The 23,996-nt window shown below is 42.3% G+C and overlaps 1 protein-coding gene and 1 pseudogene across 11 annotated transcripts in view, besides 1 other annotated feature; one reads left to right on the forward strand and one right to left on the reverse strand.

Annotated features, from left to right (window-relative positions):
* RIN2 (Ras and Rab interactor 2) overlaps positions 1-23,996 on the forward strand; it is a 244,858-nt gene that overhangs the window by 53,521 nt on the left and 167,341 nt on the right. For 4 of the 11 annotated variants that reach the window (XM_047440212.1, XM_047440213.1, XM_047440211.1 and 1 more), the window contains exon 3: positions 4,104-4,179. The exons of the other annotated variants lie outside the window; for them this stretch is intronic. The gene's annotated coding sequence lies outside the window, so the exon portion shown is untranslated. The remainder of the gene's footprint in view (positions 1-4,103; positions 4,180-23,996) is intronic. 11 annotated transcript variants of the gene reach the window in all.
* Positions 12,288-12,912, reverse strand: RPL12P12 (ribosomal protein L12 pseudogene 12; annotated as a pseudogene).
* Positions 17,302-17,471: a silencer, noted in NCBI's record as "silent region_12706". NCBI's record gives its function as "represses an Ori minimal core promoter by ATAC-STARR-seq in GM12878 lymphoblastoid cells {active_cell/tissue: GM12878}" and the evidence as "EXISTENCE:reporter gene assay evidence [ECO:0000049][PMID:35858748]".

The raw sequence follows: 23,996 nt of genomic DNA on the forward strand, positions 1-23,996 counted from the left end.
GTGGTTTATTTTGGTCCCCCTGAGACAAGGATTTAGATGCAGTAATTTATTTGGTGAGTGATTCCAGAAGGATGGAGGAGGGGTAGGGAAATGGGAGAGAGAAGGGAAAGAACGAGTGTTAAAGATCAGATGCCACCATTGGCAACGGGGGCTCAGTGGCGCTAGGAGCTCTGCGAGGTGCTGGAGACCTCACCTGCGAGTGGTTTTACCCACAGAGTAAGGGAGCTGGGGTGTTTATCCACAACTTCCTTCCATCATTGGTGAGGACTGCTCCAAAAGGCAGTAACTTCCTGGCACTTCTGGCCACCCATGCGTGATTCAAGTATGCTCCTGTCACCAGAGAGACTTCAGGAAGAGACTCACGGGTACCTGCAGTGGGAAACCCTTGGCATGGATGGGAACAGTGGGTGTGGAGGGGACAAGGGAGGCACCATGAGCATCCATCACAGGGTGCTTAAGAGATTTTGAGGCAAGGAACTAATTTGTAGCTTTTAAAACTGAACGCAGAAACTGTATGCCTACAAGGTCTTTGGTCTGAATGGAGAAATGAGATCTTTTCGTTCATGGCTATTTGAGTTACTTAAATTTGGACACAATCATACAGCGAACCATTATAACCACTAAAAAATGAGGGCCATCTCCTGTGCTAATATGAAACTCTCTTTGAGTTATAGTTTTGAGTAGAAAAAAGCACAGTACAAACAATATTTAGAATATGCTCCCATTTTAAAAAAAAAAAGCTTTGTTTGGGTATAATTTAAATACCACAAAATTTACCTATTTTAAGTGTACCAGTGTAGTGTTTTAGTAAATTTATACAGCTTTCCAGAAACTTTACATAAGTGGAACTATACCATATATGGTCTTTTGTGCCTGACTACTCCCACTCAACATAGTGTTATTAAAGTCATCCACGTTGTAGCAGGTATCAATAGCTTGTTCTTTTTTTTTACCACTGAATAGTATTTCATTGCATGGATTTATCACACTTTGTTTATCCATTCTACATTTGGACTGTTTTTAATTTTATTGTTATAAATCATGCTATTGTGAACACCCACATACAAGTCTTTATGTAGACACATATTTTCACTTCTCTTGAGTAAATACCTATGAGTGGAATTTCTGGGTGATGTGTTAAGTTTATGTTTATTTCTTTAAGAAACTACCCAACTGTTTTCCGAAGAGACTGTACCATTTTATGTTCCCATCAACTATGTATGGTGCTTCCAGTTCTCTGAGTCCTCATTGACAGTTGGTAATATCACTCTTTTCTATTTCAGCCATTCTGATAGATGTGTTGTGGCATCTTATTGTGGTTTTAGCCTTTCCCTACAGACTAATGATGTTAAGCATCTTTTCATGTGCTCATTTGCCATTTGCATAGCTTCTTTGATAAAATGTCTGTTCAAATCTTTTGCTTATTTTGTGTTGGGTTGTTTTTCTCCTTCCTGAGTAGTAAGGGTTTGGATAATTGCAATTATTTTCTGTAAGTTCAAAATTATTTCCAAATAAAAAGTTAAAAAAGCAATTCTAGCTCCCATCACACTGCAGCACCCCCCCATTCAGAATGGCATACTTGGGAATTGTTTCATAGCGTGGGCATCCTCACTGAAAGAATCAAAAGGAAGAGCAAGATCAGACTTTCAATCTTTTGTTAAAAATAGTCATTGTCTGGTAATAATACTCCCTGGATTACTTTTTGTCTGTGAATAGGAAGTTGGTGGTTAAAATGTCCAGATGTTGGGTAAAGAAAGACATGAGAGTACTCATGATTATCTTCCTTTCTTTGGTTACTGCAGAAGTTACTCAGCTTCCTCAGCATTGTCCCTTTGGGTCTGATCAAGAGTCACTTGCTTTGTATCCACCTAACAGTGCAGGGTCAGATTCTGAGAATGGAGGAATTGAGGGGAGCTATTCATTCACCACCCCTGCAGGAAGAACACAGGCACTAGTAAGCTCAGCAATAGACTTCCCCACTCTAATCCACTCCACAGTGGCCTCTCGGACAGTCAGCCCCATTTGTGGGGTCACCATTCTTTCCCTTGCCCCCAGATCACTACTTCTCTCTAGTTCTCATATAATGAATCAACTGCGTGCCTGCAGCTAATTGACTGAGTTCAAATTAATGGGCTAATCGGCCAATAGCAGAGGAAATCAAGAAATATGAGGTGGAAAAGAAAGAAGTTCCCATCCATTTGCCATATCATGACTTTAGGTCAGTTGGCTTGTACTTCATGGCTTCTTTCAATTCTTCAAATATTTAGTGAGCATCAACTATTCATTCATTCTTTCATGGACACCGAATACGTACCAGATACTATGTGAGGCTAGTGGGGCTTAGTAGTGAACAAAAGAGGCAGAGTACTTTCTCCTAAGAGGCTTCCATTCGAGTGGGAGAAATAGATTATAACAATTGGGCAAATGAATACGTAATACATGTCAGGTTATAATAGGAATTACAAAATGAAGTAAAACACAATAAAAAAGTAGAGACAGGTGCATAAAAATTCTGGAAGGATGTACTCCAAATGATTAATAAATAGACCTGTAGCTTTTAAAATTTATGTCTTCTAAATGTTCTGTAACAAACATGTATTTTTTAAAAAAATGAAAAGTTATTTTAAATATATAAAAAGCACTGGGTTTGAATGTCCCACATGATTAATTGTGTCACCTGTTGTATCATAATTTTATTACCAAAAATACTGAAAAAAGTTCAACTGGAAAATAATACATAGTCTTTATTATCTGGGGTGTGGTTTCAACATATTTTAGGAATCTTGATATCTGGAAATATAAATAAATTATAGAAAACTAGACATGTTTATAAAATGCCTTCCAGATGGGTAATTTGAAATGATGAATAATCTCTTCCGGTCTTGGTAAACAGCAAAATGTGCTAAATAGGTCAGAATAGAAAAATAGTCGTATCACGTGCAAGAAACAGAGAACAAAGCATTGGAGCCCAAAATGCTATTTCTAATGCTGCTTTGTTTTGTTATGTTCTTACTGGCAAATGAAGGGCAAATGTGTGTTTACGAGGTCACACAATAAAATATAAAGTGAAAATTTCAGTCATTTGGTTAGCTTGGCCCAAGGAGACTATCAGGCTTGGAAAAATCAGACAAAAATAAATCATGTTAAGTAAGGTCCAATCCAGCCGCTTGCCTGGGGCTCAGCTCCCTGGGGTGTTTGGACCCATGTTTGGTAGGTGGACGTGAGGTCGCGGTGCACACTTGCCCTTTCCCCTCCTCCCACCCCCTCCCCAGTGCTTCCACAAGTCTGACTCTGCCTTGTCACTGATTGACTTTGCCTTCCAAAATGAGATGACATGTTTATTGTCTAACATCATCACTGATTACGACAACAATCACTCACAACAACTGGTGTGGTCACACAACATCTCACCCCAGATGTCCACCTAAATCCTCCACCTCTCATGTGATTAAAGTCATTCAATCTCTGGTCTATAGTAATTTTATATTTTATATTTTGGAGACAGGGTTTTGCCCTTTCATCCAGGCTGGAGTGCAGTGGCACAATCAGACCGCACTGGAACTCCTGGAACTCAAGCATCCTCCCACCTTAGGCTCACAAGTAGCTGGGATTACAGGTGCATGCCATCATACCCAGCTAATTTTTTTTTTTTGTAGAGACATGGTCTTCATATGTTGCCCAGTCTGGCTTTGAACTCCTGGCCTCAAGTGATCCGCCCACCTCAGCCTCCCAAAAAGTATCAGGATTACAGGTGTGAGCCATCATGCCTGGCCCTGGTCTACACTGATTTTAAAATCCACTTGGCCATTTCTGGTGTTAGAATAAACCAAATCCTATCCAAATATTAATTTAATTTTATGTTTTATAAGCTTGATCATGTAATATTTATCCATTTAAGCACCAACAAAGAAACTCAAATTTGTATCTGTGTGGATTATTAACTGGCTCTGAGCTCTATGGCTTTCTGCAGTATTTCCAGCAGGTTTCAAAGTGATCAGTCCTAATAACTCTGAGGTTTGCATTTTGTTTATTTATTTTTTAAATTGCTTGTTGAGTCTAACAACAATGAATCCAACTTGCACTTTCTTATTTTGTGTTCCTAGGTAATTCATTATTGAGAAAGCAATTTATGCTAGTTAAGAGAAGGCCTATAATGAGGCAAGAATTCTGCTTACAAAGGTAAAGTAATTTAAGCAAAAGCTAAAATTTAAAAGTTCGATAGTAGTCAATAAAAATTAAAGAAGTTATACATAGGAATCTTTGAAATTATGTCTAAAGCAATACATTGGCTCCCTTTTTCTTATAACAAAAACCAAGTTCACTGAAAGTAATTTATTTCTTTTTATGGAACTACATTGTGCATTATATGAGTTCAATCTTGCCATCAATAGATTTCTTAGGCTTTGTTTTGAAAAGTTGCTTTTCTTTTTCTTCTTTGGACTTTTCAAAAGCAGAAGTTTCCCTGACATGCTCGGTGTGGTATTTGCTGATGCGTGCATGTGTGTGGTTTTAATTTTTAGGTTTGTTTCCCCTCAACCTTTTCTTTGAGTTAATGTGAATCACAGCTGTATTTTTCATTCCTGAGCACTGTGATTCATTGCCGTTGACTTCCTCTGGAGCCCGCTACACCACAGAGTCCTGTGGGAAACTGATTAGTCACTGCTGAGCAAGGTACCTTGCAAGCCATGGTCAGCATCGGCTCAAACAACTGTCTTTGGGCAACGATGAAAGTTGTTGTAGCATCTTCCTTTGGGAAAGTAAGAAAGCTTCCCTTTAGGGGTTCATATAGTTTGTAGCAATCCATGGATTCATCTTGATAACATACGGGAAAATTTGATGTTGAAAAAGATAAACGTCTTCTTTGGTTAAGAAGATTTTGGGTCACACTTCTGCCTTCAAGAAACAGACATTGATCACAGCCCCTTGCCAGTGGCATATAAATAGTATTTGTGGATAGCTTGAACCTTACTATATTGGTGCAGCTTTGAAAAACTTGGAACAGATTCATTTATCTCAAACATACTTTTATCTAACTTCCTTGAGTCTAATTTTAGAAATTTTCAAGCCAAGGGATTTTTCTTTATAAGCTAGACTTACAAAGAATTCCTAAAGTCATGCCTTAACAGTAATCAATTATTCTCCATAAGTTTCCACTTGCAGTTAGCATTGCTGATTAACAGTTTGTGATCACCTATTCTAAGGGTGGAGAGGCGACCCTACCTCCATTTGATATCACCTAACCTGAAGGGGCTTTGGCGGCTATGTCTGTGATAATGAGAACTCGAATTTTCCTGTTCAGAGTAAAGGCTCTATAAGTTTAAGGAATTGGAGCAGTTTAAGAGCAGGGACAAATGGTTAACCAGTTAAATAAGCCAAACAAGGTGTCAGAAGATCAAATTCTGGTTTGATCCTTGGGTAGCCTTGGGAAAGAATTTTTGCCTTGCTAGGCCTCGGGCTTTTTACGTGTCTGTTAGCATGGAGAGCTTGAGGTGGAAATGCAAACAGAAAACAGTGCACCCGGGTAGAAGTTGCATGTGGTTGCCTTGCAGTTAGAACTGGGTCACACAAACAAAAAGCCTGATCAAATATTTCCTGAACATATAGGAAGTATAATTCCTTAACCTCTGCATAAAAGAGGATTGCCAGCCATATTCTGTTGAGACAAGAGGACATTGATACAATTCCTGATGCATCTGAATAACTGAAAGAAGATTTAGAAAATTTGCAAATTTCAGGATGAATAAGAGAAAAGTAAATAAAAACTAAAAACAAGACAATATTAAGTTGTTCAAGAGAGGAACATTTATCATAATATACTGTGTATTTCAGTGATGAATACAATATTGGCATGATTGCAATATAATCATGTAGAGAAAATGGAGACATAGTCATATAGAGAATGTGGAGACAAGAAGTGTGTACATTTGCTAGAGCTGGGATGGGGGTGGAGGTGGTAGAGTTCAATCCTTGCCTTCCATAATGGGGAATCAACAGTCTAAAACTGAAAATTCCAGAAGTTGCAACACGTGTGTTATTACTTGGAAGTAAATACCAACTGGGTTGGTCCATTCCGGCTGCTCTAACAAAATACCTTAAACTGAGTAATTTATAAACAATAGAAATGTACTGCTCACAGTTCCGGAGCCCGGAAATCCTGAGTTCAAGGTGCTAGCTGACTCAGTCCCTGGGGAAGGCTCACCCTTTCCTTCAAAGATGAAGGTTTCTAGCTGTGTCCTCACTTGGCAGACGGGGCAAACAAGCTCACTCAGGCCTCTTTTATAAGGGCAGTAATCCCATTCATGAGAGCTTCACTCAAGACCTAATCACCTCCTAAAGGCCCTACCTCTTAATACTATTGCAATGGGGATTCGGTTTCAATGTATAAATTTGGGGGCGGGGGGCACAAACATTTAGATTATAGCACCAACACAATTAGCTAAAAAGATTGAAAGTGGTTGACTCTAAGGAGAGGGAAGTGGGGAGAAATGCTTTTTATGTGAATAATATTTATGGATCTATTTGACTTTTTGTATAATTTTGATGAAACTAAAGACTGAAAAAGTCATAAGAATTTTTTTAAATAAAATCAATGAATCAAAAAGAAAGACACTGATGCCCACTGAGGTTCAATAACTTGTCTAGGGTTCACCACTGACAATGGGGCAAAGCCAAGATTCAAAAGCTCTCAGTTCAGCTCTAGAGCCTGAGCACTCCATCACTATTGAATATCGCCTCTCCAAAAAACATTAAATATACTCATCATCATTCATCATTCAATATCAAAAAATGTGAATTAAAATAACGGTGAAGTATAGTCATGCATCCCTTAACGATGGGGTACATTCTGAGAAATGCATCATTTGGCAATTTTGCCATTGTGCAAATGTTGTAGAGTGCACTTACACAAAAATGGTAGAGCCCACTACACAGGTAGGCTATATGGTATAGTCTCTTGCTTCTGAGTTACAAACCTGTGCAGCATGTACTGTACTGAATACCATCAGGCAATTGTAACATAAAAATAAGTACTAAACATATTTAACATAGAAAATGTACAGTAAAAATATGGTATAAAAGATTTTTTTTTAAATAGTACACCTGTATAGTGCAGCTCCATTATAATCTTATGGCACCACCATTGTATATACAGTCCATCATTAACTGAAATGTCATTGTACAAGGCACAACTGTATTATATTGTACTTTTCAGATGAGCAAAAATGTAAACAATTGTTAATGTTCATGGTTGGCAAGAGTGTGAAGTCATGGGGATCCTTGCATCACAAGTTCTTAAAAACTGCACATGCCTTGCCCTAGTAATTCACTTTATAGAACTTAATTTAAGAAAATAGATGGGCATGCCCAGCACTTTGGGAAGCCAAGGTGGGCGGATCACAAGGTCAGGAGTTTGAGACCAGTCTGACCAACATGGTGAAACCCTGTCTTTACTAAAAATACAAAAATTAGTCGGGCATGGTGGTGCATGCCTGTAATACCAGCTACTTGGGAGGCTGAGGCGGGAGAATTGCTTGAACCCGGAAGGCAGAAGTTGCAGTAAGCCGAGATGGCTCCATAGCACTCCAGCCTGGGCGACAGAGCGAGACTCCGTATCAAAAAAAAAAAAGAAAGAAAGAGAAAAAAAAAAAGAAAGTAACTGGGCATGGATTAAAAGATATTTGAAAAAAAGGCTGCAACATTGTTTAAAATATCAAAAACAGCAAAAATTAAAAGTAACCGAAACATTCATCAGTTGGTTAAATGTATTACTATATGCATTTCACAGGTGTGAAAGGGATGAGGTGGATATATTTGTGTTAACATGAAAAGATGTCCATGTTATATTATCAAATGTAAAATGTACATCTCAGGACAGTATGTGCAATATGATCCCTTCATGTAAAAATGTGTGTGCATGTGCACGTGGGCATACATATAGGGTCCGGAAGGACAGATCTTTAATGGTTGATGACATTTATTTCTAGGTGGGAAAGGATTAGAAGGTGTCTTAGCTCAGGCTGCCGTAACAAAATACCATAGGCTGGGTGGCTTAAACAACAGAAATGTATGTCCTGTCGTTCTGAAGGCTGAGAAGTCCAAGGTCCAGGTGCCAGCATGGTCAGGCTCTGATGAGGGCCCACTTCCTGGCTTGCAGATAGTCACCTTCTCACACAGCAGAGAGAAGAAGAACCAGCAAGCTCTCTGGTGTCTCTTCTTTGAGGGCACTAATCCCATCACAAGCACCCCACCCTCATGACCTCATCTAAACCTAATTACCTCCCAAAGATTCCACCTCTAAATAACTTCACAGTGGAGATTAGGGCTTTAACACAGGTATTCACAAACATTCAGTTCATAACAAGAGGGGACTTTCCCTTTTATTGATACACTTTTGTGTTGTTTTAATATTTACAAAATATTTAACAATTGAAATCGTATATGTATGAGACAAGGTCTCACCGAGGCTAGAGTGCAGTGGCACAATCACGGCTCACTGTAACCTCGACCTCCCAAGTTCATGCCATCTTCCCACCTCACCCTCCTGGTAGCTGGGACCACAGGTGCATGCCACCATGCCTAGCTAATTCTTTTATTTTTGTAGAGATGGGGTCTCACTATGTTGCCTGGACTGGTCTGAAACCCCTGAGCTCAAATGATCCTCCTGCCTCAGCCTCCCAAAATGCTGGGATTACAGGCATGAGCCACCACACCCAGCTGAAAATATACTTTTATTTAAAAGGCAAAAGCATATAGCTATGAGTGATAAGTGATCAGAGACGACATCTAATCCAAACTTTCAATTTGTATAGGTAATCAAAGAGATTTAATAAATTTCTCAAAGTCACACAAATGCAAATGCAAATAAAAACTCAAGATTTCTGGTCTGATGAGTATCAAATTACTGTAATCAATAAAGTATTAAAATAAAACAATGGCATTATATGGTTCTCATTAAATTTAAAAGGCTCAAACAGACAACTCAAAATGTGTCTCTAATATTCTAGGCGATTTGTTGCCATTTTCACATCAACATTGGTTTTTACTGCTAATCCTGTTGATTTTAACCTTGTTTTGTGACAGTTATAAAGACTGGTAAGATCAAGTGGCCAATGTTATGATTATTTATTTGAAAGGTGAAACCAGAAAACAAAGCCTGATTCTAAATAAGGTCATTTTAAATGGCAAATGAACAGATGCCAGTTTTAAGAGACTCCATCGTAGCCTTTCTCAGTGAGTGAGATTTTAACATTGTAACGTATCACCAAAAAGTAAAGTAATGCACTACAGACTCTTAAATTGTCACTATTTCCCTTAAACCCCCTCAAAACACAGACAAAAAATAATAATTTAGGAAATACGAGAAGTGTGGGCGAGGGGTCTGGGCATGTTACTTCTATCACAGATTTGGAGAGATGTTGGCCAATTGTCAACAGTCTGTTTCTGGGTCCTGTGGTCTAGAGTCCCCCAAGAGCAAGCCAGGGGTCTCCCTGAGCCAGCCCAGCCTCAGGTGTGTTTCCACCAGGTTCCAGGCCAGGCCAGTCTTCCTGGGCCAGTGTGGACCATGTACTTCCTGTGGTTAGCTGGGGTTCTCTAACTTTCCCATCTGAGTCCCCTGGGGAGCTGGTGAAAACTCCCTCAGGGTTTCTGATGCGATAGGTCTGGACTGGAGCCTGATAATTTGCATTTATAATTCCTTCTGCACCATATGCTGGTAGCCAGCTCTGGGATGGGTTGTGGAGCAAGCAGACCTAATTTACAGCATTTGCTGACTTCCATGCGGTATAAATACTCCCACCAAGCTACCAAGGGTTTCACATATTTAGTAAATATGTGAAATTACTGAATATGCTGCATATTTAGTAACTGGCTCTTGTGAGCTGGTGTGAGCTGGTGTGAACTGGCTGCAGAACATTGCTGCAGGTGAGACTGATACTGCTGATCTAAACGAGCTGTCTGGCTTTCTACCAAGAGTTTCATCCATTGGTGATCCTGCCCGCTTTAACTCTGTTTCTCCACCCCTGACTGTGTGTCTCAGCTCCATACTCATCTATCCAACTATCCTTTGGTCATTTCCACTTGGGAGACCTACAGGCTCCTCAAATTTAGCTGGTCCAAAGTTCAACTATTTTATTTTTCTCCCACCATAGCTTTTATCTTTCTAGATGTCTTATTTTGGTGAATTATACCACTATCCACTCAAGTTTCCTAAGAGAAACTCAAATCCTGTATCCCATAAATAGATCACCCATATGTGCCCCACCCTTTTCCATTCATCTCACATGTGTACAATCATTCCCCTACCTGCTTGGCCATCCACAATGTCACTCTCCTACTCAGAAGTATTCAGTGGGGCCCCATCATTCCCCATAGGATCAAACCTCAATTTGTCTCTATGGCCTAAGGATGATCTGATCTTCCCTGTCCAGCCCCACTTCCCCTTCCACAGGACACTTGAGCCTCCAGCAATAGTGGGCAGTATTGGATTTGTTGCTCTCCAAAGCACTTGCTCCTTTCTCACTTCTAGGGACCATTCCTCACGCTGCTCTCTCTCTCTCTCTCTGCCTGGAATCCCTTCGTCTGCCTACTCATCCTTTCAGGCTCAACTCAGAGGCTACTTTTTCTGCAACACCCTTCTGGCCTCCCTCAGAAGAACTTGCACTTTCCGTTTTCTGTTCCTATTGCACTGGTCACAGATCTGTTTTAGCAGTGATCTTGTTGGTAGTGTCTGGGTGCAAAGGGCTGCATTTTCACATGTCTGTTATCTCACATTGACTGCCTGGGACATTATAGATGTTCAGTCATGTTTGTTAAGTAGAAGAATGGCTGAGTGAATTGTGGGCCAAGTTTTACCCATCTTCAGTGCTTAGGCTGCAGAAGGTAGAACTGAAAAGGTGAAACCAGAGTTAAACGTGGCTCATTCTCCTCCCACTTTTTGGAAGATATTTTTGTCTCCAGAATCTTCAGACCCATGAAGTCCATTCTGATCTGTGTTCCAGCCTTTAAGATGGACCCAAATGTATTTGTTTCTAGGTGGCTCACAGGTCTGAGCTTCCTGGGAGACCTGCAGACTAGAAATGGTGCAGGACTGGTCTGGGACAGGTTGACCAGCTCTTCAAGACTGAGACAGTGGGGTGAGAAATGCCTACATCTGAACAATGAGAGTGGCAGCACTCTTTCTTTTGATTGGGCTTCCTTCCTGTGTTTTCTCAGAGCTTATAAATGAAGTTAGTATAGATGAATCCAAAGAACGGCAAGAATTTTCAGAGGGTGGATCGACAGAATAGATGGAAGAGCCCATTATCTGTATGAAGAGACTCAGGAAGTAAGGAGCTCCAAAAGCCACGAATAGATTCTAAACAGATATCCTGATTTCATCTTAAATGCTCTCTTGCTCATCTTTCCCTGATCCCCTCCAAATGTCTTCATTCCATCCGGTATTAGAATTACTTACAGCACTGGTAAGACCTCTGCTAATGACACCTATTCTTCTAGGCAGGATAGGTTCTTACTGATTTACACTAATGAGAGCAAAATACACACACACACACACCCACACACAATTACAAATTCAGATGTTAAAGCACCAAATACATCTATTTGGATGAACATAGTAAAGTTTTAATTATTTATGGTCACTTTTTGTTGCTCATGCTAATATATGCATTATTATGGTTAATATTTTTAACAATAATTTAACTTGCAAAGTGCTTTGGATGCATTTATTTAGTATGCTATAATTTCTGAACAATGTACTCTGCAAAAAGAGGTGACTATTTGCATGAATACATATTTTTTGGCCTAGCAACTTAGTAAATGAGGATTTTAAAAATATATATTTCTAATAATTTCTAATAATAAATAATCACTAGAATAGCTAGCATTTATTAATCATTTGTCATATTACACACATTGTGCTAAGAAGTGCTTTTTCATGGACTGTTTTTATTCAATGCCCATTTTACAGATGAGGAAACTAAAGCACAGAGTAACTAAGTAACTGCTCAAAGTCACGCCTTTAGTGATTCCCTGGGATGGCCCTTCCCTGGTTTAATAGTCGTAGAGCCATAGCAAGGAGACATTGCTGCTTGCTGAAGTTTCTCACCTTAATGTCAAAGCTAACTGGCAGTGAACGTGCTGAAGAAGCAGAAGGTAGTGAAAGTGTTCATGCCCTGGAATCTGGGGACTGAATGAAGTTCTCATCTTACTCTTTCGTGGCTGTTTGTCATTCTCTGAGCAAGTGAGTGAATGGTGGTAACATCTGCTCTGCCTGCTTTTTTTTTTTTCTTTTTTTGTCAAATGATCCTTTATTGAAATATTTTCCTTTGTGCTTAACTAGCTGGGCATTCTACAGCACCACTGTTGATGTCATCTATGATGTCATGAGGGTGGCGGCCATCAACATTACAGCCCACAGACTGGGCAGTCCCCAGGATCTCTTTAGTGGTTCCAGAGAGTTCTCTGGCTAAGGATTGGTGCCGCATCTGTCGAGCAATGTTGACGATCTCATCAAAAGTGATATTCCCACTGTGTTTAATGTTTTTCTGTTTCTTTCTGTCTCTTGGTGGTTCCTTGAGGGCTTTGATGATCATGGCAGAGGCAGAAGGCACCACCTCAATCTGGGCCTGTCTGTTCTGAATGGTTAGTTTCACTGTAATCCTCAGGCCCTTCCAGTCACCCATTGCCTTGGCAATGTCATCACCAACCTTTTTTGGAGACAGACCCAGGGGGCCGATCTTGGGGGCCAGGGCAGAAGTGGCACCGACTTCACCTCCGGTGCACCTCAGGTATACGACTTTGATCTCGTTCGGGTCGAACTTCGGCAGCATGGTGGAGGCAGCTGGTGTCGGATGAACCCGGATTCAGGACGACCGAAGAAAGTTGCACCTTGGCCTCCTCCGAGCCGAAAGCCGAGAGAGCTGCTCTGCCTGCTTCTATGGCCCCCCAGGGACTGGTATGCACATGTGCTGAGTTAATTGTATAAAAGTTATTTGCATGCTGGACCTGAGTGAGATCCTATTTCAGGAGCTTCATCTAGGCTCCCTCCCAATGGCCTTTCCCTTTCCTTCCTGTAAGAACAAGCCTACGGCAGAGAAGGAAGCTTCCCACGCAGTTTGCTACCACGCCTTATCAGCGGGAGGCCCCTGTGCCCTTGAGTGAACATGAGATAATTTTAGATGGAACATCTTTTTTGGGCTTAGGGGTTTATTTTAAGATTATTCAAAATACATGTACCTAGTACATCAAATTGTGATTTCATCATCCTTATTATTATTTAAGGTGTTAGGTATATTTGTTTTTAAATAATAGTATAGTATTCTGTGGGTAAGGCAAAAATTAACGCAGGCAGGTGTAGATTTATGGTGTATCTAGTGACACTCATGTCCTTCAAGGCCCTTCTTTTGCCCAGATCCCTCCCAGTCCTGTGGGCAGTTTGCATTAGTAATTTCATATCCTTTCTCCTAAAGGGGGCTTCCAGAATAGAATGAATCTAAGGCCCCCTGAGACCTGGATCCTCCCTGTGTGACATGGACTGTGTAACCATTGCAGGAACTTCTTAGAATCTCTAAAAGAGAGATTTTCCTGAGTTCTGGCTGGCAGGGACACAACAGGAGCTAAGGAGAAGGAAAATGGTCTAGAAGAGTTTTTGAAAAATGAACTGAAGACATTAGTTACAGAAACTCGGTTAGGTCCCGCCGATGATCATTTCCATGTGGAGAGGAGCATTCGAAGGCCACCCTCTTATATCACTGTTGGGATGCTGATCCACCCAGATCTCCTCCTCTAGCCATGGTGGGAGTTGAATGTGATGGCTCTCAGTGGCCCTCTTCTCCAAGGCCTGCTCGAGGCCACGAGAACCTCTTCACCCAGGACACACTCAGACATACTGACTGGCACCAAAGCATAACAGTCAGCATGGCCCGCCTTGTCACCAGTGGGATAACTGTGGGGTATGAGTCATGCTCTCAAGATCCCTGGGGATGAGACCAGGCTAGACTTTCCCTGCAACCACTGGCTTGATCTGCTCTTTCTCCTTTCCTACCTGCCTTCCTCACTTCCATACAAGACCCTCCCTATATGCCTTGTGCATCCCAATATGCCTTGTGTAGTTAATCTCTACTTCAGGCTCTGCCTCTAGGAAATCTGATCTAGGACTAAACCTTTCTTGACAGCCCTGCTACCTGGTTGATGTCCTAGGGTCACCCAGCGGTCTGAGGCCCTCTGCCTCCAGAGCAGTCCATGCCATGTGTGGGCAGCTCTGATCATTAGATAGGTCTTTCTTAGCTTGAGCCAGGCAGATGGAGCCTCGCTTTCAGAAGACAGCTCTCCTGCCCTACTCCTCTCCCCTTCCCAGTCCTCTCTTAAACTAAACTTTTCTAGGCCCTTCAGCTAGGCCTTTTGTGGCCAGGTTCCTGTTCTCTCACTTCCTGGGTTCTTTCCTTACCTCAATCCAGTGTTGCAAAATCCCACCATAGGTGCTCACTTAAGCTGAGCCCTTCATTCTCACTGAAGGTTGAGGACACTCAGAATAGGACTTCCACCAATACGGATACTGCCTTGGATAAGCCCAAATGCTCATCAGGGATTTGGGCAACTCTGTCACTGAGCTTCAAACAAAAGATGCTCTCACGTGTGTTTCTAGTAGGCTGCACCTTGCCTCAGTGCACCCTCAAGCGATGTTTTCTGTAACCCCACTCACAGGATTTTGCATTTATTTCTGCTACTCTCATTTGTGAGCCTGTTGTCTCAGCCAGTTGAGTTGTATTTTGTATCCTAATTATTTCATCTGGTCCTATCTTTCCAAAGCATGTTACAACAATGATTGTAGGTATAGCCCTGAAGATTTTTAGCTGGAACTCAGATTAGCATTTTGTGATAATTTTATTTCATTTTTCAATTCTTATGAATTCAGTTTATAGCATAAAAGTATGATTTATAGTCAATCTTTGTTGCTCATGCTAATATATGCATTATTATGGTTAATATTTTTAACAATAACTTGCAAAGTGCTTTGCATGCATTTATTTAGTATGCTGTTAATTTCTAAACAATGTACTCTGTAAAAGGAGGTGAGTGACTATTTGCATGAATACATTTTATCTTGACCTTAGTAAACCAGGATTTTAAAAAAATTCTAATAATAAATAATTATGAGAATAGCTAGCATTTATTAATCATTTATTATATTACACACATTGTGCTAAGAAGTGCTTTTTCATGAACTATTTCATTCAATACCCATTTTACAGATGAGGAAACTAAGGCACGGGTAACTAAGTAACTGCTCAAAGTCACACTCTTAGTGATTCCCTGGGGTGGCCCTTCCCTGTTTTCATAGTCATGGAGCCATAGCAAGGATGTAATTAGCACATCATATCCATTAGCTTCTTCTGCTATAGATTCAAGTTGAAAAGAGAGTAAATTTAAGGAAAATTCACAATCCTGTCTGATAGTTGGCAGCAAGCATTGGGAAGGCAGTACATGAATGACTGGTGTTTAGGAAACACTGATTTATAAGATTTGTCATTCTCTCTGCTTTAAGTCATCTATTAGCTTAACCTCTGTTCAATCCTTATCCTGGTTTAACTTCTTAGCAAACATCCTGCGCAGGACAGGCACGGAGGGAATCTTGGGGCCTACTCCTGTTTGGTGGCAATCCATCAACTGTGGCTCCTGTGTGCAGGCATTTAACTATTTTCTTGTCATCCTCTTAGGCACAAATTTTTTTCTTGCTAAAAAGGTGTCATTATTTGTCAACTCCCTATTTGAAATTCAGATCCATGCAACAGTTTTTTTCTAATTTTATTTTTGTTATTGTTGGTGGTGGTGGTGGTGGTTTTTCTATTCGTTTGGTTTTGGGTTTTTTTTTTTTTTTTTGAGACAGAGTTTCGCTCTTGTTGCCCAGGCTGGAGTACAGTGGTGCAATCTAAGCTTACTGCAACCTCCGCCTCCTGGGTTCAAGTGATTCTCCTGCCTCAGACTCCCGAGTAGCTGGGATTACAGGCATGTGCTACCATACCTAGCTAATTTTTGTATTTTTAGTAGAGATGGGGTCTCGCCATGTTGGCCAGACTGGTCTCCAACTCCTGACCTCAGGTGATCTGCCTGCCTCGGCCTCCCAAAGTGCTGGGATTACAGGCGTGAGCCACCACACCCCGCCTTTTTCTAATTTTCTAGTCTAATAGCCCTGCGAAGTACATAAGGAATATGGCTAAACTGACATAGCTTGTCTTGGGAAACCCAAACTGGACCCTGGGCTTGACCACGTTTTGGCTAAGATACACCATCTTGCAAAGAATTCCAAGAGCAATCATCTCTCAAATGGCCCTGGAGCCCACAGCTTCATAGCTGGAGAAGTCTACTGCCTTCTCTGTTTTTGAAGCCAAGGACCAACATTATCTACCAGCTTTGTCCAGCCCTCTTTAATTCTCCTGAGTGCTTGAAGGTGATCACAAATAATCTCACATGCATTTAACTTATAACCATAGTGTGGCAGTGAGTCCTCCAGATTGGAAAAGAAAATGCCTATAGAAGATCCAGGTACGCCCTTATGACCGCCAAATTGACTTCAGGATCCAGTCCCGCTTTTTAATGCTGGTCTCCTCTTCCTGTCTTACAGCCTTTAGGTGTTCAGCTGATGTAAATTAATTGCTCCCATTGTCAAGGACTTTAGTAGGTTTGCTTTTCTTTTTTTCTTTTTTTTTTTTTTTGCTGCTAGTCAACCACATTGTGTTCCAAAAGTACCTTTAAAAAGGTATTTTATGGTTTTATTTAGCTTTGTTTTATTTGTAAAATACCCTTCTCCTGGGCTGTAGGCTTCTAGGCATTATTCACACAGATCCAGCACACTGTTTGGGGTACACTTAAGCCTCTAGAGCCCTTACCCATATTTGCATGCTGCCCAGCTGTGAGTTCATTGCAAAGGTGCAGACTCACCTGCTTGTGATACCTCTCCCTCTTAGCTACTGACTTATTTGTGGTGTCAGAACCCCATTTTCAAGAACTTCCCATTCTGTTTGATGGGAACGAGGGCACTTTTTATAGACTCCAACTCACCTTTAAACTTTGTGAAATCTCTGTTTGTAAACCACAAAATTTATCAGCACAACTGAGTTTCCCATTCCTAGCTTTTGTGAACATAAGGATGACATAAGAATTTCCTCTTACAATGCCTCTCACTTCCACTTCCCCAATCAGTTCCTCCCCGTGAATCGGAAGTAAGTTGAGAATAGCAGCTCCACCCACAGCTTTCTGATCCTTCTGAGGGCTGAATCTGCCCACAAGTTAGGTCAAGTGTGTGTCAGAAATGGTTTTTATCACAGAGACACTATGAGAATATGTGCGGACAGCTGAGTCTGCCACCTGTCTTTCTGCCTGATTTCTGCAGCAGGAATGAATCACTCACTTCCTGCGTTGATGGTGGCTGTGGCATCCTGTCATCACAGTAGCCCTTTTATTCTATTCCTCCATTCATCTCCATTATCTTCTAATATGAAAACCATTATGTAGGTGCATAGATTTATTTGTCCTTGACTTAACAGAGACAGCTTAGTACTCTCCAAAAGAAAAGAAAAAATATGTTTCTTATGAATGGAACATGATAAAATATGCCATCTCTTGGTTGCATTCTAACCGAGTGTCCCATTCCCTGTGATCTTGCTGACTCCTAGGAAGTTCTGCAGAGCTGATCATTTCCTCCACCATCCTAGGTCCATTTTTGCTTGTTCTGCTCTGTATGATCATTGGGATGGTCCAACCGGCTACGTCGTCTGAGGCTCCCTTTGCTAACTGGCTTCCTGCTAGGCTTGGTTTGGCTCATGTGAAGCCCTGGTTGATAGGGTGGGTGGAAGGAAAGGAAAAGCCAGGGCATTTCACCACGTTTAATATACTAATGATTCAAATTTGTGCCTCAGCAAACATGCAGATTACCTGGGATCCTCAGCAGAGAATAATAGCTACCTCTGGAAATAGTAGGCTCATGAATGCTAAGAGGCTACTGAAATTGCCACCTATATGATGGGACGCTTTGGGTGAGAGGTTCATGGAGGTTCTGATTGATTGGGTTCTTGAAGAGTACATGAGCATTTTCCTGGCAGATCTACTCATGACAGACATCCCAGGAAGACAGAAGAGAAGATGAGCAGTTATGGAAACCCAAAGTTGTATGGCGTGCTTGCAAATTGGATTAACTTATTAATTTGTAGGACTTTGGGGGCATGATAGGAGATGAAGCCAAAAAAAGAAAAAAAAATGGATTGAATCCAGTATATGAAGGACCCTCTGTAATAACTATGCTTTCTCCCAGGGGTGAGTTCACAGGAGCAACAGAGAGCTCTAGAGTGAGGAGGGTGGGAAGAACAATTTTGTATATCATCTACGTTGTATACTGGGCTTCTATAGGCTGTTGTGTTTGATGAAAGTGTGCCGGCTTAAAAAGTTCAAAAATCCACTGTTGTGACTATAGGAAATGTATTGGTCAGGGTTTTTAGATGCATACTAGAGAATCGCCTCTAGCTGGTTTAGGCAGGGAGGGGTACTGAGGAACAGAGTTCCCAAAGTCAAGGGATGGATCAAGCAGTGGGGTTTAGGCTGGGCTTCCCAAGTGACTCCCAGAATGGCCCACCAGAATCAGCCCACCAAGGGGTTGGCCACTACGGAAGGGGTCAGGAAGCTGCTGAATTGGGAGACCCCCTCAGGGCTGCTGCTCAGAGCAACTCCAGCTCTGCCATGGCCCCTGACCACAAAATGATGCCCCTGACTCTGTCTCATTCCCTGCATCACTCAGTTCCCAACAAAGCCTTGTGGGAGCCCATCTGCGTGGTAGAATCTAAATCACGTAGCCATATCCCAGCAGCAAGGAGGCCAGAAAATGAGGTTTCTGTTGTCTTATTTTTGCATCGTATGTTGGAAAGACAGAAATTATCCTGAACGACACTATCAAAATACGGATTGTGATCAAAAGATTTGGGGGATACCCAAATGATAGCAGTCCACCTCAGGAAGACATATTTTCCAAAGGAAGGGAGAGTAGGATGAAATTTGCATTTTAAAATATCATTTTTATGAAACCATTTGTTTTTTAGCCAAGGCCAATCCTGATGACTGTGTGAGGTCATGAGACTGCTGGTTTCTCTAACTAGCTTCACATTTTTTTTTACCAAGTTCTCTAAAGCCAAGCTAGCTTTTCATTAACTTTTATGCCAGGCCTCAAATCTTCTTTTACTTACATGGCATGACCTTAGAATCCTTTCTTGGCCTCTCTTTCATGCTTCATTCTTGTGCAGTTTGGTGAAGACCCCCTGCACTCTCAGGTGTAGCATCTTCCTGCCACATGAGGGATACCTTAATAATATGACCATCAGCCACAAGCCTCAGCCCTTTCCAATGTCATGTCCCACAGTGCATAACATACCAGCAAATGTTTATCACAACCTACTCAAGGCCAGTCATTCAGTTTCCAGGACTCTCAATGAGGTTGGGCCGGAATTTCCTGTTGCTGTGGAATAAAGCATGAACAACTGCCACATGATGTGTTGCTAAAATGAATGCAGTATCATTAGCATGGTGGACACTGTGATGCACCACCAGATGCCCCTTAAGGAGGGACTTGTTGCCCGGCTGCTGGGAGTGCTGACCATGGGGAGTCTATAGCTGCCACCAGCCCCTGCAGGGGTACCTTGGCTGAAGGGGGCTGCCTAGGCAAGGGTCATGCCATGCCCAGGGATACCCACATCCAGCGATGACTGATGCTGGTGGGGGTACAATGGCATAGCCATCTCACCCCACCTCGGGACACCCCTATAAGGTTGACTCATCCTGAATCCTGAACCTCATCTCCATGTCCCCGTGTCCACTCCTGCTTCCTTCCCATTCCACAGGCACTGATCCCACGGGCGCTCCTTAATAAGTCTCTTGTACCCTAAACTCTGTCTCCAAGTCTGCTTCTGGGAGACCCCAACCCATGACCATCAGCCTCTTCTAGAAGTACACAGATGCCCCAGCATGCCACACTCCGGGTAGATACTCCACCCTCCCAGGGCACCCAATTCACCTTAGAAATGTGAAGCTGCCAACTGCTCTCAGCAAGGAGATGTCTGGTACTTGGTGCTTGGAAGTAGTTTCGTTCGTCTAAAAACGTAACATAAATTTTTACATTAACATTTTTTAACCTGAAAAAATTGAATTCTAGTTAGTGATATGTATGTTAGAAGTATTTAGTGGGAAGTACAGACATCCAAGTTTTTCTTTTAAATGCACCAAAAGTAAGATGGATTGAGGGATGCGTAGAGGGAGGTAGAGATGGAAAAATATGGATAAAACAAATATTGTAAAATGTCAGTGGTAAAATCTTGGTGGTGTGTATGTGAGTGTTCACTGAAAAATTATTTCAATTTCACTCTGTTTGAAACTTTTTATTTTAAAGTATTGGGAAAATAAATAGGTGTGACTGAATAGGAAGAGTAGACCGAGATTGTTTTATGAACTGATTTCAAAGATAAAGTTAAGCCCGTCAAGTACTTGAGATTATATCAGTGTAATTTCCCTGATACATTTGAACCCATCGTTTATTTAGCAAACATTCGTTGAGCAGGTACAATGAGCTTGGATATACAGTAAGTGTTCCAGGGAGGACAAAGAAATATAAGAGCTATATTCTGCAAGTTTATTGTAGTAGATACAATAAATACATATGGAAAGTTAAATAGTAATAGTTCATATCACCCTAGACATAGACTTTTAAAATACATGGATTCTCCTTCTTATAGGAGATAGCTACAAAGCAAAACACAAACAAAAACAAATGCATGTATTGGTTCTACCATACAGATAATGTTTCTAGCAATGAATAATAACAATTATAATAATAATGATAGCAGATCTTACACAGTGTTCGCCATGTACCTGGCAGTGTTCCAAGGGCTTCACCTATTTCAATGCATTTCATCCGTACACTGTGTGGTGGTGAGAATGTATCTGCAGATTTGCAACTAAAGGGGACGTGACTGGCCGAGGGCACCACCTGCTGTGCTCTCTAATCCATCACTAAATTTCTAAGCCAGTGGCTGAGCCCAGTGGGGATACTAAGGCAAGCACATTCCCAAGGACGCAGGCGGCCTCTGATAGTCATCGCTGGCTCTGTGACTCCCAGATGGCCTTGCCAACCTTTCTAAGCCAGCATGGTGATCTAGGATGCTGTCCCCAACCTTCCTTCCTCCCCACTCTCCTTTACAGAGACAAGACCTGTGTGGCATCCCGATGGCTCTCCCCACCTCCCTAGACTGCCTCCCTCTTGCTCCCCACTGTCCCTCCCAGGGCTAATTTTTGGAAATAGTAAAAAAGACTCACCCTCAAGCACGCCTTTCAAAGGCAAACCAACCACTCTGTAGCCCACATCCCAGCCACCTCTTTCATGTGCTCCCACCCTCCGGGCCATGACCCACCAGCCCTGATCACCCCGGGGCCAGGTACCAGACAACCAGGGACAGCCCCTTCCTTAGTCCCTCAGTGCCCCAGACTGGGTAACTTAGAAACAATAGGCATTTATTCTTAACAGTTCTGGAGTCTAGGAAGTCCAAGAAGAAGACACCAGCAGGTTCAGTGTCTGGTGAGGGCTGCTCTCTGCTTCCAGGTGTTGCTGCATCTTCTGGAGGGGACGAATGCTCTGTCCTCATGCAGCAGAAGGGACAGAAAGGGCCAACTCACCTCCTCAAGCCCTTTGGTAAGACCCTAATCTATTCATAAGGGCAGGTCCCTCATGGCCTTCTCCCCTCCTAAGGGCCCCACCTCTTAACACTGTTGCACTGAGGATTAAGTTTTAACATGAATTTTGAAGGAGGCACAGACATTCAAACCACAGCAGCCCCTATGCTCCAGAGCCTAATGAAATTATTCAAACCACCCACTCCTAAGCCGGATTACCCTGCCCTACATGTTCCTCCCCACGGAAACCACAGTGAAAGCTCCCGCCCACAGTTTTCCCCTCACCTTCTGCCTCTAACAGACCTTGGTGCTTCCCTGTGTGGCCCCTGACAACGTGGCAAGCCCTCCTCTTGGGATCTGTGAGTAACAAACCGTCTTTTCAATGATAGTCATCTCCTGATATGCTGGTCTTGCCAAAACAAAATCATAATAAAACCTATATCTATATATAGATAGATAGATATAGGTTATATATATATATTTTAACTTTAAGTTCCAGGATGCACGTGCAGAACATGCAGGTTTGTTACGTAGGTATACGTGTGCCATGGTGGTTTGCTGAACGTATTGACTCATCCTTTATGTTTCCTCCCCTCACTCCCGACTCCCCAACAGGACCCGGTATGTGTTGTTCCCCTTCCCGTGTCCACATAAAACCTATATTTTTTAAAAGCCAGTTAAGTACAAATGTCCCTTGGTGTTCAGCTTTTCTGAGTTACTGTTTACAACGTGTTGAGCTCTTAAAATAGCAAGAATGCCAAGAATATTTTGCTCTCAATTACTTGGTTTTATGGTCTTACATGCACAAGGAAGAGAACAGAAGGTATCTCTATATGAGTAGTGAGTGTAGCAGTGCGCTTGGGGCCCCACCAGATCTTCAAGCCTGGGCTGGTGCCCCACCGTGTTAGGAGTGGTGGCTGCTAACTGGCCTCCCTCCCCAGGAGATTCTCCCCTATGAGATGCAAGGCAGCCCACAGCCCGTGGCTGACTAGCACAGGGGTGCAAAAGTGCAGTCCCCTCGCCCCAGTGCAGGACCAAATCTGTGTTCAAACCCCAGAGCTCCCTGCAGGCTTAGGCTGAGGTTGGCATCCTGCTGAGGTCCCATTCCCCTGCCCCCTCCTGCTTGTCCCCGTCCCCTTCTCCTGAGAGCTTTCCTCCACCACATCGCCTGCACAAGGATCCCCTGTGAGTGAGACCCCCAGTGGCCTGGTAACCCACAACTAAGCATCACATGAAATGTGGAGGGACCTTGTGCTGGGTGCAAGGTTTTCCCCTAGTGTGTGTAATGGTTATGGATCATTTAGTGACTCCTGCTAATCTCCTTAGTACAGACTGTCAGAGCCTAGTTAATGGATCAGCCCATAGGCAGCTCCCTAAATATTCCACCTATAAAGAACATGAAATAAACCACTGGCATGAGCAGCAGATTACCTACGAGCAAATTCACATCCCCTCATTCAGCTTTTTGCTTAAGTGGGAAGATGCAACTGGGACCCATTTTTGCCAAAGTGGAAGCTGCCTATGGGTGACAATAGCAGGGAGAAGGGATAGCCCATGTTTATGGGGCACTTGCTTGGTGCCAGGTACCCTGCTAAGCACAGGAAGGACAAATGGCCTAACCCAAATCGCACAGCTAGTAAGCAGCAGCATTCAGCCCCACAGCTGCAACCTCCCACCCAGTGCGACGCTCTGGTTCCCTGACAGGCTCCTCCTCCTGCCCTCCCACCCCCTTAAAAGTGGAGGAGCAAATCAAGAATACTGGTGTGAAGGGAGGCACCTCATGGCTGGCCCTGTTGGCTGTATTTAGTCTTCAGATTTCATAAATATGCAAACTAGGAAAATAGAATGATCTTCGGTCTTTTTAGTTTTTTCTTTTGTTTTTGTATTATTCTTATCTTTTGTGGTAACATGTAGACCTGACATCCCAATCTTCTGTCTTTTAAGTTGTATAATAAATAATGTTCATCATTCTCTTTAAAACTTGACTCTAGGCCAGGCACAGTGGCTCACACCTGCAATCCCAGCACTTTGAGAGACTGAGGCAAGAGAATCCAGGAGGTCAAGGCTGCAATAAGCCAAGAGCAAGCCACTGCGCTCCAGCCAGGGCAACAGAGCAGGACCCTGTGAAGAAAAGAGAGAGAGAGAGAGAGAGAAAGAAAGAAAGGAAGGAAAGAGAGAAAGAGAGAGAGAGAAAGAAAAAGAGAGAGAGAAAAAAGAGAAAGAGAAAGAAAAAGACAGAAAGAAAGAGAAAAAGAGAAAGAGAAAGAAAGAGAAAAAGAAAGAAGAAAGAAAGAAAGAGG

The sequence above is a fragment of the Homo sapiens genome, chromosome 20 (assembly GCF_000001405.40).
Source record: "Homo sapiens chromosome 20, GRCh38.p14 Primary Assembly".
NCBI lineage: Eukaryota > Metazoa > Chordata > Mammalia > Primates > Hominidae > Homo > Homo sapiens.